Source organism: Homo sapiens, chromosome X (genome assembly GCF_000001405.40).
Source record: "Homo sapiens chromosome X, GRCh38.p14 Primary Assembly".
NCBI classification, from domain to species: Eukaryota; Metazoa; Chordata; class Mammalia; order Primates; family Hominidae; genus Homo; species Homo sapiens.
The window spans coordinates 118,639,633-118,657,955 of NC_000023.11; the positions used below are offsets into that span (position 1 = coordinate 118,639,633).

The window sequence follows — 18,323 nt, forward strand, 5'->3', positions numbered from 1 at the left end:
ATAATAAAAACTGAAGGTGATGGATACCATAAATACCTTGATCATTACACATTATATGCATGTAACAAAATATCACCTGTATCCCTTAAATATGTATGAAGAAAAGAAGTCCTGGTTTAAATTGCCAATATGATGGGAAATGATTTCCCATACATGTGTTTGCATCTCTCTGCTATGTATATAATCAATTTCATCATACATGACTATAAAATGATAAAATACACATGGATTTTTGAACAATTTTAGGTCATGATGTTTTCTTCTTAGTGTTAAAGAAACTAAATTTTTCCCATGGAATTGCTATTCTCATAATATTTTTATATTGAGTATTCTTCATTCCTACTGTTAGACTTCAATGCAAATATTGACATCTTAATATAATAGTATATGTAATATTTGTTTAGTTACTTTTGGTCATTTAATGATTAGGGAATGAACATGCTGAGTTGACTGCAGAAATCGGTGAATCCTAAATACTAGTTTGGCAAAGGTGTATTTCAGACAGGTTGAAGTATTGACAAGGCAAATAGGGCAAGGAGAGAAATCTTGCCCAACTGCGGAAGCTAGAGGGTTATATAAATGGAAGCTATCCTATGAAAAGCAAATATTAATAACAACTCAAAGAGTGAGAATGTTTTGTTTCCACACAGTCCTCTGAAGGTTTCAGAAAAGGAAGCCAGCAAAACTGGCTTTGTGGTAAGACCTAGTAATAAAAAATAATGTTTTGCTAGACCCTGAACTAATAGACTCAGGACCTTTAAATCTGCATGTTTTAAAGCCTTCAGCTTCTTGTAAAAATATGATGAACCACTTCCTTCAGTTGCCTCCAAGATACCTTGTTTTCCTTCTGATTTAGAAACAAATGTCATATAATTGGCATAATTGAAAATGTCTGACCATAGGGCACTACTGTTTATCTGTAGCTGAATTTCTATTTAGTGGTTTCTCATTTTTACCCACATAATTAGTGGCATGACTTAGAAGGCCTCCCACATTATTTCCTAGTTACATCGCCAGAGTTCATCACTGAAACCTTGTCTCCAAAGAGGTGGGCACCTAATTATGTCCTGCAGAGCTGTTGATACAGAACTGTAATGAAAACTAATGAAATTGATTAACCCAGACTATATTTGATGAAGGAGTTAAATACAGTATGACACTGTGAGCCCTCTTTTTTTTGAGACGGAGTCTCACTCTGTCACCCAGGTTGGAGTGCAGTGACGTGATCTCGGCTCGCTGCAACCTCTGCCTCCCGGGTTCAAGTGATTCTCCTGCCTCAGCCTCCTGAGTAGCTGGGATTGTAGGTACGTGCCACCATGCCCGGCTAATTTTTTGTATTTTTAGTAGAGACAGGTTTCATCATGCTAGCCAGGCTGGTCTTGAACTGACCTCATGATCTGTCCGCCTCAGCCTCCCAAAGTGCTGGGATTACAGGCATGAGCCACCGCACCCAGCCGAGCCCCCTTTCTTGTCTTAAGTCTTTGGGTAGAAAGTCATTCAACACCATTATGTGCATCTTCGTGTTGGGAAAAGTTTAATTTACTTTTTTAATCCTAGGTTCTACAACAACTGAAGCAGACATTTTCCACCAGGCACTTCTTGAAGGCAATACAGCTACTGAAGTTTCCCTAACAGTACTAGACACCATATCATTTTTCACTCAGTGCTTCAAGGTAAAAATGAAGAGTTATAATTCAGTTGGTACCATTGCAAAGTAACATTATGCAGAAATTACCTAGTCAATGTGGGGTAGTACACTGAAAAAGGCTGGCATGAATAGTCAGGAAATGTGGATGGCAGTTCTAGTTTGGTTATCATGTGACCCTGGAAGTCACTGAGACTCACTTGTGTCATCCATAAAGGGAAGGGAGTGGACTAACTTGCCCTTAAGCTCTCTTCTACCTCTTAAATTCTATTAGATTTTCGTATTTAAAAACAAAGTTTCCATACTTTAAGTAGCCAGCAATTTTTAGCCCAAAATATGATTGGATCTGTTTGCCCAAATACCCATTGTGATGAGATGTCCTGTCAGGGTAGATGATGTCCGGGCAGTCTGGCTGGCTTCCCTAGGCGCGCACTTAGTGTTTTTTCTCAGATGTTTGCCTCTCAGTGCAAATCATCATTGCTATGATTTTAAAAAGAAGGTAAAAGCAGTTATCTAGCAGGATTATTGGAGGGGGAAATGGGATAATGGACGTGAGAGTGCTTTGAAAAGTAAAAACGGTGTGACCATAATGTAAGAACTCAAAGGTGAAAATCTTGCTTGCTTTCACTTCAGTTATACAGATTTTTTTTTTCCTTTTTCCCCTCTTCTCTAAGTAATTAAGTTAATTGCTTCAGACCTCGAGATTTTCTATGGAAACCTGGCCTGTGCTTTTCAAAGAGGCTTATAAAGGAAAATTGAATTAGATACTAATATAAAATAGGCTGCAGAATACCTTTAATAAATAGGCTACAGATCCCTTTATGAAGTATTAGGTTTGTTCTATATTAAAATGCAACACAACTCCATGTTTCATCGTGCCAATAACTAAGAAAGCCATTAGATCTCATGATGTACATTGTATTCCTTCCTCCTATTCTGATACCTCTAATTTATTTAACAAACATTTATATAGTCTCTTGGTAGATATCAGGCACTGTCCTAAGTGCTTTACAAATATTAACTCACTTTTTCATTGTGAGGCTGGGAATGAGAAAGGGGAGTGATCTTTTTGAAACAATGGAAATGTTCTAAAATTGGATTGCGGTGGTCACCCAACTCTGTTGCCGAATTTACTAAATGTAATTTAATTGTATACCTGAAACTGGTGAATTTTATGGTTTGTAAATTATATCTCAATAACTTAAAAATACAAATATGAACTCACTTTTAATCCTCATAATAGCCTTATGATGTAGATACTGTTATTATTCCCTTTTGATAATGGGGAAACTGGGGCCCACAGGAGGTTAATGTCAAATAGCTGGGCAGTGGCAGAATCAGGATTGAGATCTAGGCCAGTTATAAGAGACCATGATTCTAGCCACTATACCATGCCTTGAAATATACTAAGGAAAGTGCCAGAAAAATCAAACACCATTCAGGGATTCTGGCTGTCAGTATTATCATTAGATTGTTGTTGTTTTGGGTTTTGTTGGTTTTGGCCAAGCTGTAACCTGCTGGTTACTTTCTTGAGGGTTAGCAGGATAGGGCTGGAGAAATTAACCATTGCTGATTAAAACAAAGTTGACAAACTAAAAGGTATTTCTCTACAATTTGTTGTTTCTTTGCAAGGGACATTTAAACAATTTACATAGTCTGTTCAATTGTGATACCTGTTAATTATCTCTACTCATAGAGGGCTTATTTTTTCACAAATGGCTAACCATATACTAAACATACTTTTAAAGTAAATTAGATCATAATCTAATAAAATAGAACTGGTATTTTCCTTCATTCATACATTACAATATTTAGTCTCTCAGAAATACAAAGGCTGATTTGCTTGTATTCATTATTAATTTATTGATTTCTTAATTGAGAAGCAATATGGTATAGGTTAATAGAAAATACTCTTCCCATACTAGTCCTGTATATTGCTGTGTTGCATTGAAAAAAAATCTACCTGTTTAAAATGTTGGGATTAAATATTTTAGATATCATGTATGTAGTAGTTGTTTGAGATTTCCAAGTTGAAAGATGGCACAAATATTTTGAAATTATATGCAAGAGCCTTTTATTTTCCTGAAACTTCCAAACAGTGGTTTCATAAACAGGTATTGGTGAAATCAGTTCTGTCATTCTCAGTGGGGCATAAACCATATTTTTTAATGTTTTATAGACCCAACTTTTAAATAATGATGGCCATAACCCATTAATGAAAAAAGTGTTTGATATACATCTTGCTTTTCTTAAAAATGGACAATCTGAAGTGTCGCTGAAACATGTATTTGCCTCACTGAGAGCTTTCATCAGTAAGGTAAGGACAGAAGCTTGGGAGCAGCCGGTGGGCTCTCTTCATTGCAAAAAGGAAAGATGGGACAATGGGGGTCATTGTGGTGACATATACAATGCCAGCTCATGAAGCCATTAAGTACTGCCTTTGTAAATAGAAATACAGAACAACAAAGCACACACAGAGGGCCTACCATGAACCCCCTCAAATCAGAAGCTACTTTTTATTTCACCCCATCATACCTTCCCTTTTCCATTAAGCTCCTTTGAAGAATATCGTTTTAAAATTACCAAACCTGCCAGTTCTCTATTTTGCTTCTTTTTAAAAGTATTGTCATGTTGGAGGTATATAAGCCATGAGTGCACTCATGTCTAAACACTTTGAAAGGATCCAACTTTTGTAATCCCAGGGTCTTGTATAATATCTTGGAAATGGTAAGCACTCAGTACATGTTCAAATGGATGAATCCTGCCTTTCAATGCTAGCCATAACTGAGGGCCCTAAATGTGCAGTCCACTTACCTCAGCTAAACAATAACCTCAGACTTGGCTTTTAGGAAGAAATATGACTGAAACAGACAGCAAAGATTTATTTTCTGTGCTCAGGGGCTTTTTAAACTTAAGAATAAACATAATTAACCAAGATAGAGCCAAGGTTATGGAAAGGCACAGTCCAGATCTTCCACTGGTTTATGTAACTACAATAAGACAAAGAAATTCAGTTTCTTTATTTGTGTAATAGGCTAGCTAAGCTTTGAAAACTTTTTGCCATCCTCATTATTTAGATAGCAGCCAATTGTGTTTAATAGATACAGAAATTAGATGAATTTGAAGCTTTTTATTGCCATTCTTTAATATAATTTATGAATTAATCTATGGGAAGCCAAGTTCAACACAAGCATGTTACAAAAACTAAGGGAAAGAGATTCAGAACTAATTCATTTAACAAAAACTGTAGGTACTTACTGGATATAGTCCCTAAAGGCTTATTGTCCAGTAGAGGGAGGCACACACACATCAAGATACACATACACAGAAACAAATACCATCAGGATAAAATAAGTCTGTATAGACCTCTGGGGGTGAGCAGGAGAAGAACTCTAATTTAGCAAAAGTTTTTCTGCAGCAACGGAGCTAGGATTTAATATGGATTCACCAAGAGATGAAACTAAAGATGTAAATGGAGTACAGATCATGTGGACTCATCTTAAGAGTTGGATTTCATCTTTCAGGCATCAGGTAGTCATGGAAGGGTTTTAAGCAGGGAAGTAACACAATTATATTTGTATTAAGAGGGAATTGGTAAGGACTGGGGAAAATCTCTTTAAAAGTTGTGTTGAAGAAGGATTGGTGACAATGTCAAAGGCAGTAAAAAGACTAGTTGCAGTAAGCTAGATAAGAAATGAGGGCCTGAAGTAAGGCAGTGACAGTGGATATATGAAGGATCAAAGGCAGATGAGACATGTTGAAAAAGGATTTACAGGATTTGATCATCAGTCCACTGACAGTATGGTGGAGTGTGGTGGTTGATGTGAAATACAGGGGAAAGACTACATTTGCAGTAAAAGTTAATGAGTCCTGTTGAATTTGAGTGCCTTTGGGACATTAGGATATATGGATCTTTGCTCTGGAGAGGGATCAGATTGGAGAGCCAGAGTTGGAGTCATTCTCCATTCATCCATACTATATTTATTGAGGACCTTCTCTGTGTCAAGTGCTGTACTAGGTCCTGTAGATACAATGGAGATACAAAATAAATATACTCTTTGCCCTCATGAAGCGTTCAGTCTTAGTGGGGATAGGGGAGACAGAAAATAAATAATAAAAGAATTAGTAATCATGAGCCGGGCGCAGTGGTTCACGCCTATAATCCCAGCACTTTGGGAGGCCGAGGCGGGCAGATCACCTGAGGTCAGGAGTTTGACACCAGCCTGACCAACATGGCGAAACCCCATCTCTACTAAAAATACAAAAATTAGCCGGGCGTGGTGGCGGGTGCCTGTAATCCCAGCTACTCAGGAGGCGGAGGTTGCAGTGAGCCAAGATCGCGCCACTGCACTCCAGCCTGGGTGACAGGGCAAGATTTCGTCTCAAAAAAAAGAATTCATAATTATTATATGTTCTAGGAAGGAAACAAACAGTGTACTGAGACAGTAAATGATTTGTGGGAGATAATCTTATCTTAGATAGGTTTGTCACTTTTAAAATGAGACCTGAATCTGTAATCCCAGCACTTTGGGAGGCTGAGGCGGGCAGATCACGAAGTCAGGAGTTCGAGACCAGCTTGGCCAACATAGTGAAACCCTGTCTCTAGTTAAAAAAAAAAAAAAAAAAAAATTAGCTGGGCATGGTGGCAGGTGCCTGTAGTCCCAGCTACACGGGAGGCTGAGGCAGGAGAATCACTTGAACCCGGGAGGCAGAGGTTGCAGTGAGCCGAGATCGCGCCATTGCGCTCCAGCTTGGGCAACAGAGCGAGACTTCGTCAAAAAAAAAAAAAAAAAAAAAAACACAACAACAACAACAAAAAAACAGAGAGACCTGAATTATTGAAAAGGGGCCAGCTGTAAAAAGAGCTTAAAGAAGAACTATCTAGGGAGAATGACATACATGTGCCAAGGCTCTGAGTTGGGAAACAGTTTGCAGTATTCTGAGAACTAAAAGGCTGGTATTTTTGGAGCATAGTGAACTAGCGGGAGCATCAACATACAAGTGGTAGTTGAAGCCATGGGAGTGGTTTGATTTTCCCTGGAGGGTACATTGAAGAAGAAGAATAACAACAACAACAAAAAAAATCAGGAGCAGAACATTGGAGAGAAACAACGTAGAAGGGAGGTTCAAAGACGAATCTGTAAGGGAGATGAGAGGGAGCAGTCACAGAGGTGGGAAGAAAGGTAAGAAAGAAGGATATCATGGAAGCCAAAGAAGGAAAGAGTTCCAACATTGTCATGACGTATACGGAGTAGTCAAATAAGAAAGGAGAAAAGAGGTCTGTTAGAATTGGCAATTAGGTCATTGATGATTTTAGCCATTGCCCACTCAGAGAAGTGAGTGATGTGGGTAGAAGACTTAGTGTAGTGATGAGCTACACTATAGCTATGATCTCCCTTAAATGTTTATTTTCATACCAGAGTATCTGCTTCATCCAGAGTTAGTTTAGTTTGGTGAAATTATTAGCGAGATTTCCCAATTCCCAATCAGAAAACATTTATTAAGCATTCATTATCTGCATAGAATTACACTTGGTATTAAGGTGAAATAAAGGGTAGATTCCTATATGTGGGTCTAAATTCAAGGTTCCTAAGAAATAATTTTTAAAAGATGTCCCTCTAGCTTCACTCTCTGAAAAACATCTATTGTGTATCCTGAAGCAGCTTGTTATTTGCTTGCCTAGACCTAAAAGCATGGGAAATTGTAACAAGTCTGTTACCTGTATATTGTGTCTTCCACAAAGCAGACTGAATACATTCTTAAAGGAACAGGCCACTTGTCTCTTTTGATAATTAGTCACTTTCTTACTCCTTTTCTATGCTAAAATGTATCTTAACTATCAGTGTTTATGTGAAGAGGATATGTGTGTGTGTGTGTGTGTGTGTGTGTGTGTGTGTGTGTGTGTGTGTGTATCTCCTATATCCCATTTGTTAAAAGATGAACTTCACTTGCTGAGTAGATTTTAGCTATAATTTTCTCAGCACGTTGATGTTCACAATAAAGGAACTGTTGAAATATAAAGCAAAAGAGTAAGTAATGAAAATTGACCTTCCCATTTTTAAGCCCCCATTTGAGACCCATCATTCATCATTTCAGGCATTCTTTCAAAACATATTGAGAACCTGCTTACTGTATTATGGCGGTGCAAAAGTAATTGCTACTATATCACTATATAGTGGCAAAAACCGCAATTACTTTTATATATATTATATTATTATATAATATATTATATAATAATATAATATATAATATAATATTATATATTATATATGTTATTATATATTAATATAATATATTAACATATAATATATCTTATATATTAATATATAAATATAATATATAAGATATATTATATGTTAATATATTATATGTTTATATATTATATATTAATAATTATTATATAATATTATATTATAATATAATATATAATAATATAATATATAATAATTAATATAATATAATATAATATATAATAATATATAATATATTATAATATATAATAATATATAATATATTATAATATATAATAATATATATTATATTATTATAATATAATATTTAATATATATTATAATATAATATTTAATAACATGTAATATATAATATTTAATAATATATCATGTATTATATATTATAATATTATATATAATAAATAATATATTTTATAATATATAATAATATATAATATATAATTATATATAATATATAATAATATATAATATATTATTATAATATATAATATAAATTATAATATTATATAATAATATAATATATAATATATAATATAAATTGTAATATATATAATATAAATTGTAATATTATACAATATAATATATAAATTGTAATATTATATAATATAATATATAAATTAATATATAATAATATAATATATAATATAATAGTAATATATAATAATATAATATATAATATTATAATATTATATAATAATATAATATATATATAAAAGTAATTGCGGTTTTTGCCACTATATAGTGATATAGTGGCAATTACTTTTGCACCGCCATAATACAGTAAGCAGGTTCTCAATATGTTTTGAAAGAATGCCTGAAATGATGAATGATGGGTCTCAAATGGGGGCTTAAAAATGGGAAGGTCAATTTTCATTACTTACTCTTTTGCTTTATATTTCAACAGTTCCTTTATTGTGAACATCAACGTGCTGAGACAATATATTATTATATAATAATATATTATATTGATATGTTAATATATTAATATGTAATATATATATATTTATATATTTATATATAACATAAATTATATATATTATATACATATATATAAATATATAATATATATAATATATTAATATATAATATATAATACATATATAATATATAATAGATATAATATAATACTATAATATGTTGCAGACTCTCGAGCTCTTCTCAGATCTATAGCATTTATATTCAGTACTTCTACATCTTTGTAATAACTTATATACTGACTTAAGTTCTATTATTATCACATGCTGGTGTTTATGTTAACTAGTTCAGGCTCTCTGGAGAGCAGAGCCTGCCTTATGTTGATTTTGTATCCTCAAAGCCCCCAGCATAGTTTTAGGTGAGGATATAGAGGGCACTTGATATTCTATTGATTTTATGATTGGATTTTAAATACTTATTTCTGTTTTCCCTGTTCTTTAGTTTCCTTCAGCATTTTTCAAAGGAAGAGTAAACATGTGTGCTGCATTTTGCTATGAGGTTTTAAAGTGCTGCACATCGAAGATTAGCTCAACCAGGAATGAAGCATCTGCACTTTTGTATCTTTTGATGAGAAACAACTTTGAGTATACCAAAAGGAAAACCTTTTTGAGGACACATCTACAGGTCAGTGAAAATAAAAGCGCCTCTTCATCTTTCTTCTCTTCAATCTTTAACCTCTAGATCAAGATCCAGAGCCACCCAATCCAGTCCAATACAATGTGGCCATCTAGCACTTGATGTGTGGCTAGTCTAAATTTAGATGTTCTGAAAGTGTAAAATATACTATGGCTTTTGAAGACTAAGTATGAAAAAAATAGAAGATCTCAATTGTTTTATATTGATTATATGTTGAAATGATATGTTGCCTGTATTAGGTTAAGTATATTAAAATAAGTCTCTTTTTAGTGTGGCTACTAGGTAATTGATAATTACGTATGTGGCATGTGTCATATTTCTATGGAATAGAGCTGCTCCTGAGCAGAGAAGAGCATAGGCTTTATTTCAAATTTTATTTTATTTTATTTTATTTTTTGAGACGGAGTCTCGCCCTGTCACCCAGGCTGGAGTGCTGTGGCATGATCTCGGCTCACTGCAACCTCCACCTCCCGGGCTCAAGTGATTCTCCTGCCTCAGCCTCCCAAGTAGGATTACAGGCATGCACCACTATGCCCAGCTAATTTTTGTATTTTTAGTAGAGACGGGGTTTCACCATGTTGGCCAGGCTGGTCTCAAACTCCTGACCTCAGGTGATCCACCCACCTTAACCTCCCAAAGTGCTGCGATTACAAGCATGAGCCACCGTGCCCAGTCTCTAGTTTAAATTTGAGGACTGCCACATACTATGTGACCTGGAGCAAGTTACTTCCTTAGCCTCTCAGTGCCTCAGTTTCTGCAAATCTGGTGGGGTAAATATTGTTACCTAGCTCATAGGATTTTTATGAGGATTAAATGAGATGATTAAATAACAAGCTTGTTAGATTTTACAGAACAGATAACACAGTTTATGTTTTTCATGCTCCAGTATGCCCACTTATTTTAAAAATGAGAGATGTGTCAAGGTTTAGTGGAAAGCATTGACTTTGGAATCAGGCCTACCTGCACTTAAATCATAGCTTAAATCCTTACATGCCCTGTGACCCTAAGCAAGTCACTCAATCTGACTGAACCTGTTCCCTTATTTGTGAAATGAGACTGAGTATTTCACTTTGCAGAGTTACCCTGAGGATTAAAATAAGGCGTGTATAGTGCCTATAGTGCCTGACACAATGTGTAGCACAAGATAGATACTTCCTACATGATAGTTATTATTCAACATCTCCATACTTTTGGGTTTATTGGATGAAATAGCTCTGAACTAAACCACAATTGGGACTGCTTGACTCAGTAGCCTTCATTGTAATATGGGAAATCCTTGGTCCTATTTATATCTTTACTGTCATGGTCTGTCCCATTAGAGTTGTTTACTGGAGATAAGATTATTAGTGGGGAAACAACCATAAGCAGCTTGTTGAAAAATGTCATCAATAATGTGAAAATCTAATAGGAATACTGTGTATGCTTCCTGTAAAAGTCTGCTATATAATTACTTTTGCATGTTAGAGTCAGCCATCATTACACATTAGGTCCTTTACTATTTGCTTTTATATGAGATGGCATTTGGAAACCCACCTTCCCCTAGAACATTGTTCTAATTTGTGTGCCAATATACCTGAAATTCCCCCATTGGTATTGATTCTTCTGGGTCAAAGCATCAGTTTTCTTTAAGTCTTTTATTCAAATATAGACAAATTAATAAATATGAAGACTTAGAACACTGTCTGGCACATAATAAGTGCTCAATAAAGGATTAACTAGTACTCTAATGGTTATGATCTCTTTCATCCTCTACAAAGTAGGGATTTTTATCATAGGCATTTTACAGATGAGAAACATGAGGCACAGAAAGGTTAAATAGCTTTTCCAAAGCCACACAGTGAATTATTGATAAAGTCAAGATTTGTATCTAAGGCATTCAACTCTAGAGCCCATACACATGGCTATTACTGTATCTTGCTTCCTAGGACCAGTGGTAAAGCATCCAGCCATTAACATCTTAGTATGAATTGTTTTGGCATTCACCCAAGGGAGACTGAGAGATTTAAAAGTCCCATCAAAGACAGTGGTTCATGCCTGTAATCCTAGCACTTTGGGCGGCATAAGTGGGTGGATCACTTGAGCCCAGGAGCTCGAGACCAGCCTAGGCAACATGGCAAAATCCTGTCCCTACAAAAATATAAAAAATTAGTTAGGTGTGGTGGCACACATCTGTAGTCCCAGCTACTTGGGAGGCTGAGGTGGGAGGATCACCTGAGCCTGGGAGGTTGAGGCTGCAGTGAACCAGTGAACCAAGACCGTACCACTGCATTCCAGCCTGGGCAATAGAGTGAGACCCTGTCCCAAAAAATAAGAAGTACCATCAAAGTCCATTCCATAAACTTCTGTTAAACTAGGTAAACCCTGGTCAAAAACAAAGAAAGTTGCTGAGGCACTGGACTTGGAAGTCCAGCCAACTAAAATAGACTAGTGAAAAGGAATGAGAAATCATCAAAGAAAAACATGATTTATTCTCACCTTTGCCACAGCTACAACCTAGAAAGCATATTTAAAATGGAGACCTGACTACCATTGTATCAGTTCACTATTATGAAAATAGTTTTAGATCTGGCTATGCTATGAGTTTTGAAAAATTGTTTACGTCTAACCAAGAAAGATCCTTTAAAATTTGAAATAGGGCCTTTCAAGTTACTATTTCAGCAGAAGAATGTAAACCCCTCATGTATGAAGGGTACATTATGATGGTACAGTGTAGAATCTTTAAAAGAAGCATTTCATGTGAGTGCTTATATACTTATAAAATGATGAGCATAGACAGCATTTGTTCAAAAGTTATTTGGAAAATAATATTTACTTCTTCCCACAGATAATAATTGCTGTAAGCCAACTGATAGCTGATGTAGCACTAAGCGGAGGATCAAGATTTCAGGAGTCTTTATTCATTATCAATAATTTTGCAAATAGTGACAGACCTATGAAGGTATGTTCTCATTTCAGATAATAAATTAGAACCACCTTTGCTATCAGGGAAGTTTAAACTCTTAAACTGTCATTGGATTCACAACTTTTGTTAGTATAGAATGTACGGAATGTGAGTTTTATGAGTTAAGGGCTTTGTCTTATACATCACTATATCTCTAGTACCTAGAACACTGCCTGGTACATAGCATATATTCAATATCAGTTTAGTGGATGGATGAATGAATATACTATGTATTCATAGTTGTTATGGCAAGTCGAATCTGAATTTTTTTTTTCTGGGCTTCATTTCCAAACTTGCTCAGAAAATACATAGATCCTTTATTTCTTAACAATTGTCACCACTTTTAATATTGGTTAAAAAAGCACTGAATTTGAAATTTCACAAAATTTCACTTAGAATAGCTAACAGTTGCCTGATCCATTGCCAATGGATGAGAAATGGCACAGAAGGGATTCATTATTTGATGGTTTTGTGAGTTTTGAAAATTATCTGTTAACACCAAGGCTGTCACTCTTAAGCACCATTTTGCTGAGGCCAAACCCAAGACTCTGACCACTGTTCCACTTTCTTTCCTATATGCTTAAAACTTATAGCACTGTAAAAATTCATCTGTTGCTTTGTTGCGTAGAGTGCAGGTTCTGATCTTCAGTGACACATGTATACAAGGGAAGAAGAATCCTTTGCCAATAGGACTTTTCCTCCCAGAAGAATGAATCATCCCCATTCTTGGGAAAGGTCATCTTCCAGCACAGTTTGACAACATTGTGTAAAATCTGAAAAAGATTAAAAGCTCATAGTCACAGCATATTTGATGTTTGGATGTGTAGAATCTAAGTACCAAAAAATATTCCCATAGGAATGTTGCTTGTACTGAAAAATAACAGCGTGTAGTGCCAGCCGCTCTCAGGCTGGGAAAGTTTGCTTTCCAGCCAGTTCTACTAGTTCCGCAGGGGATCAGTATATGCTCCAGCTAATCTTGTGAGCATAGAAACAAGTTACACCACTTATGCTTATACTCTAAGGAATTGTTTTTACCAGTTGTTACCATCCTTAGTACTATGTTATATAGGTAGATTGGTAAGTTTTTCTAGGTAAATGGGGCTTGTATATTCTCTCCTTGATAGGAAATCTTTTTCTTTTCCATATCTCATTTATGAAATGACTTAGTTTTATTCTGTTATGGCAGTCATTACCAACAAACCCTATTACGAAAAGATACAGCTTTCCCCTGGTAAATGGGATCTCTATTAATGTATAGAAAGGAACTTTATGTATATAATTATTATTTTTAAAGGGAGTCAAAGCCAGGTAGGTATTTTTTATTTCTATTGTATTTATTTATTTACTTAGAGACGGAGTTTCACTCTTGTTGCCCAGGCTGGAGTGCAATGGCCCGATCTTGGCTCACTGCAACCTCCACCTCCCAGGTTCAAGTGATTTTCCTGCCTCAGCCTCCCGAGTAGCTGGGATTACAGGTGCCTGCCACCACGCCTGGGTAATTTTTTATATTTTTAATAGAAATGGGATTTCACCATGTTGGCCAGGCTGGTCTCGAACTCCTGATCTCAGGTGGTCCTCTTGCCTCGGCCTCCCAAAGTGCTGGGATTACAGTCATGAGCCACTGCTCCCGGCCAAGAAGGCAGTGTTTCAAACCATTTCCCCCACATATTGTGTTTATATTGACAAGCTCCCTAACCCCTGTACCTGTCTCTTCCTCATCATCTCTGAATCATATAGATAATTGTGATTACTCCTGTGGGGGTTAAGAGGATGCAATAGGACTTCCTTAGCAGTGGCTAGGGTAAAGAGGAAACTCTGGTATTCTTGGTGCCAAAAACAAACTTTGAAAGCTTAATGATCTCTCTAAACTTTCTGGAACGTTCTGTGATTCATGACCTCCCATTTGTGTAAACAGAAATTTCTGCAGTATGGTTTTCACCTTAGTGTATGTGGTAGTTAGTGGATGGAGTAGGCATGCTTATCAGAATGGAAGAGTGGCCAAGAGCACCAGCTCTAGGGCCAGACTGCCTGGGTGAAAATCCTGTCTCTAACATTTACCAATTTTGAGACTTTGGTCGAGCATTTAAACACTTTTTTATAATAGTGCTTAACTCATAGGGTTGTCGTAAAAATTAAAACATGTAAAGAACCCAGACTAGTGCTTGGCACATAGTAAGCTATTAGTTTTTAGTTACTGTTACAAGAAAACGGCAAACAAAGATCACTCCCATGGCTGTGCAATTCACAATGGAGGATCTGGGATTCAAAGCCAGGTAGTCTGGCTCCAGAGCTAATGCTTTTATGTCCTGTGAATGTACTGCCACCAAGGTTAGAGCCTTTGAAGCCTGGGCTAGTTACATATTTAAAAAATAATTTATTTAAAATTATTTCAGTGTACTATATGCAATACCAAGAACTGTAACAGGAAGTGAAAATCATATGTCCTCAGCATTGGATGACAAGCCTTAGAGCACATCGATATTGTTGTTCAACTTGTCTTTTTTGTTTGTTTTGAAATTAGGCAACTGCCTTTCCCGCAGAAGTCAAAGACTTGACCAAGAGAATCCGCACTGTTCTTATGGCCACTGCCCAAATGAAGGAGCATGAGAAAGACCCTGAAATGCTAATTGATCTCCAGTATAGCTTAGCCAAGTCCTATGCAAGCACCCCAGAGCTCAGGAAAACCTGGCTTGATAGCATGGCCAAGATTCATGTAAAAAATGGAGATTTTTCAGAGGTGACTACTTAAAGTTTTGTTCTAAACAGCCCTTCAAAACACCTTGAGCATGTTCTGACAGTTCTTTCTCTGTCATCCTTTTTCAGGCTGCGATGTGTTATGTCCATGTAGCAGCTCTAGTTGCAGAGTTTCTTCATCGAAAAAGTAAGATATTTCTGTTTTTAGAGATGGGGGGATTTTCATTTAGCATAATAGTTTTTTATCTTTGTAGTTTAGCTATGAATATGATATAATAGAACACTGAAAAATATGTTCACCCTTGGCCTTATTCAGTGTTAAAAATAAGCTGTTATAAAAGAAGACTGGATTGTTTGTTGTCCCTTCTGCTTTCATTAGAGATTACAAGAAAAGTTAAATAGTACAGGGTGGCCAGGTGCAGTGGCTCTTGCCTGTAATCCCAGTGCTTTGGGAGGCCAAGGCTGGAGGATTGCTTGAGGCCAGGAGTTTGAGACCAGCCTGGGCAACAGAGTGTGATCCTGTACCTATTTTAAAATAAAATATAAAATATAAAAAAAAAATAGTACAGGGCCAGGCCTGATGCCCAGTGTTTATTTTCCAAGACTGTCCCTCCCTGGAAGACTGCCACAAATTAAACTCTTCTCAAGGCTCAAGTCGGGATAACACAGATTATTTGTTTCCCCGTCATGTGTCTTAACATCACCAAACTGCCCATAGACTATGTCTCTCCAGCCACTTTAGTGCAGTGATACCTGGGTACTAAAAGGGAGTCATACTCTTGAAGGGCTTTAGGTCCAGCAGCCCTGGATTCCTAATTTAAGATTCCTAATTCAGGAAATCTACTTGGAAGTGTCCCTTTCCATAAACAGTATTGTTGGCTACTGCTCAACAGTATTGTTGAACAAACTGCATCTGCTCAAATAGTAACCCAGTTGAGTTAGGTTTAAACATTGATTGGCAATGGAGCTGGCAACCAAGAAATCTCTATCTCAATGTCCAAGCTACTTCCTTTAAGGCAGTGGAATGAGTAACAATACGGCAAAATGAAACCAACTTATTAAAGGAGTCATATCACTCTGGCTTCAGCTGTACGAACACAACCATATTTTGTTTTATTTTTTAATTACAGAATTCCTACAGTTAACTGTATATCTATCATTTCACACTGAGGCTCAGTGTTTGATTGCCTCATATAACACCCATGTGGAGAATCTTTTTCTAAAAAGATTCTTGGCCGAGTGTGGTGACTCAGACCTGTAATGTCAACACTTTGGGAGGCATGGGTAGGTGGATCACTTGAGCCCAGGAATTTGAGACCAGCCTTGGCAGGAATGGTGAAACCCCATCTCTACAAAAAATACAAAAATTAGCTGGGCATGGTGTCACATGCCTGTGGTTCCAGCTACGAAGGAGGGTGAGGTAGGATCATAGCTTGAGCCCAGGACACTGCACTTCAACCTGGGTGACAGGACAAGACCCTGTCTCAAAAAATAATAAATAAATAAATAAATAAATAAATGAATAAATAAATTTTTTAAAAAAGATTCTTCTTAAGTAAAATGTAGATTCATTTTACTTATATTTTAAATTAACACTTTCTGTCTGACTCTGGAATTCTTTTGAATAATCTATGTGTTTGATATACTTTAGTTTTCTCCTTTTAGTATACATATGTGAGTTTTAAACAGAGAAGGAGATTAATTACCAAAATAAGGCCCCATTTGAGGGTTTTTTTAAAAATCACTGGTATGCATATGAAATCACAGTATAAGTAAATATTGAAATTACACACCTGAAATTCCAAATAAACTGACAAGATATGAGAACCTTAAACGGAGTACCGTGATTTCAAGTATGTCTTCAGAGAAATAGATTAATATTATCTCATCTTTTTAATTAGAAATCTGGCCAGGCATGGTGGCTCACGCCTATAATCCCAGCACTTTGGGAGGCCAAGGTAGGTGATCACCTGAGGTCAGGAGTTCAAGACCACCCTAGACAACATGGTGAAACTCCGGACGTTGTGGCACACACGTGTAATCCCAACTACTCAGAAGGCTGAGGCAGGAGCGCTTGAACCCAGGAGGCGGAGGTTGCAGTGAGCCAAGATCACGCCACTGCACTCCAGCCTGGGCAATGAGAACAAAACTCCATCTAAATAATAATAATAGCAGTAGAAATCTGAAGATTTTTATGTCCACTAAGTCTAAAACTGTACTTTTTAGACTTTGAAAATAGTTAATTATATTAAAACTATTTCCTGGAATGTTTTTGTTTTTTTCACAAGTGCAGAGACATTAAAGCTAAGCAAAAATCAAGAATTATTTGTCTTTATTATCAGTCCTTAAGCTTTAGAAATATAATTTCTTGCTATGGTTTTTCTGGATATTAGCATGGGGCAGCTAGCATAAACACCAAACTGATACATTTCAGGAAGTGGAAATAATATTTTCAACTAGCCATTTATATATTTCATAATACCCTCAAGGTTTCTTAGAATTTATTCTTCATAGAAATCAAAGCACTCTTCACTAATGAGGAGAAAATGTTGTTTTGAATGTTAAAAAAAATGATGTTTAAGAGAATTTACATATTTATTTATAGGTGTCATCTATTTTTAAATTTCTTTTAATTAAATTTTATTTTATTTTAAGTTCTGGGATACATGTGCAGGATGTGCAGGTTTGTTACATAGGTAAACATGTGCCATGGTGGTTTGCTGATGCCATCTATTTTTAAACCTGGAAAATTCTATTTGCCTAAATTAGAAAACCTTATTCTAAAATAGTGGTAGTAGTAAAAGTCCTCAGGGTTTTCCCCACTTAGCTTCAGTGATCCAAAACACCTTTTTTTTCTTAATTAGCTGATTCAACTATGCTAGCTATACCGAGGTCGACTACCAATTTAAAACACAAGTTAAAAACGTAAACTGAGTATTATTCTAAGTGAACTAACTCAGGAATGGAAACCAAATATTGTATGTTCTTGCTTATAAGTGGGAGCTAAGCTATGAGGATTTAAAGGCATAAGAATGATATAATGGACTTTGGGGACTGGGGGTGGGGGCCAGGGAGGAATTAAAGACTACACATTGGGTACTGCTCGGGTGACAGGTACACCAAAATCTCAGAAATTACTGCTAAAGGACTTATCCATGTAACAAAAAATCACCTCTTCCTC

The 18,323-nt window shown here is 36.0% G+C and overlaps 1 protein-coding gene across 6 annotated transcripts in view; it reads left to right on the forward strand.

The window, feature by feature from the left end:
- The window catches only part of DOCK11 (dedicator of cytokinesis 11), a 190,333-nt gene that overhangs the window by 143,818 nt on the left and 28,192 nt on the right, over positions 1-18,323 (forward strand). For all 6 annotated transcript variants that reach the window (XM_005262368.5, NM_144658.4, XM_011531276.4 and 3 more), the window contains 6 exons: positions 1,558-1,673; positions 3,825-3,962; positions 9,313-9,495; positions 12,332-12,445; positions 14,970-15,185; positions 15,272-15,329. In XM_005262368.5, coding sequence (XP_005262425.1) covers positions 1,558-1,673; positions 3,825-3,962; positions 9,313-9,495; positions 12,332-12,445; positions 14,970-15,185; positions 15,272-15,329 — 825 coding nt within the window. The remainder of the gene's footprint in view (positions 1-1,557; positions 1,674-3,824; positions 3,963-9,312; positions 9,496-12,331; positions 12,446-14,969; positions 15,186-15,271; positions 15,330-18,323) is intronic.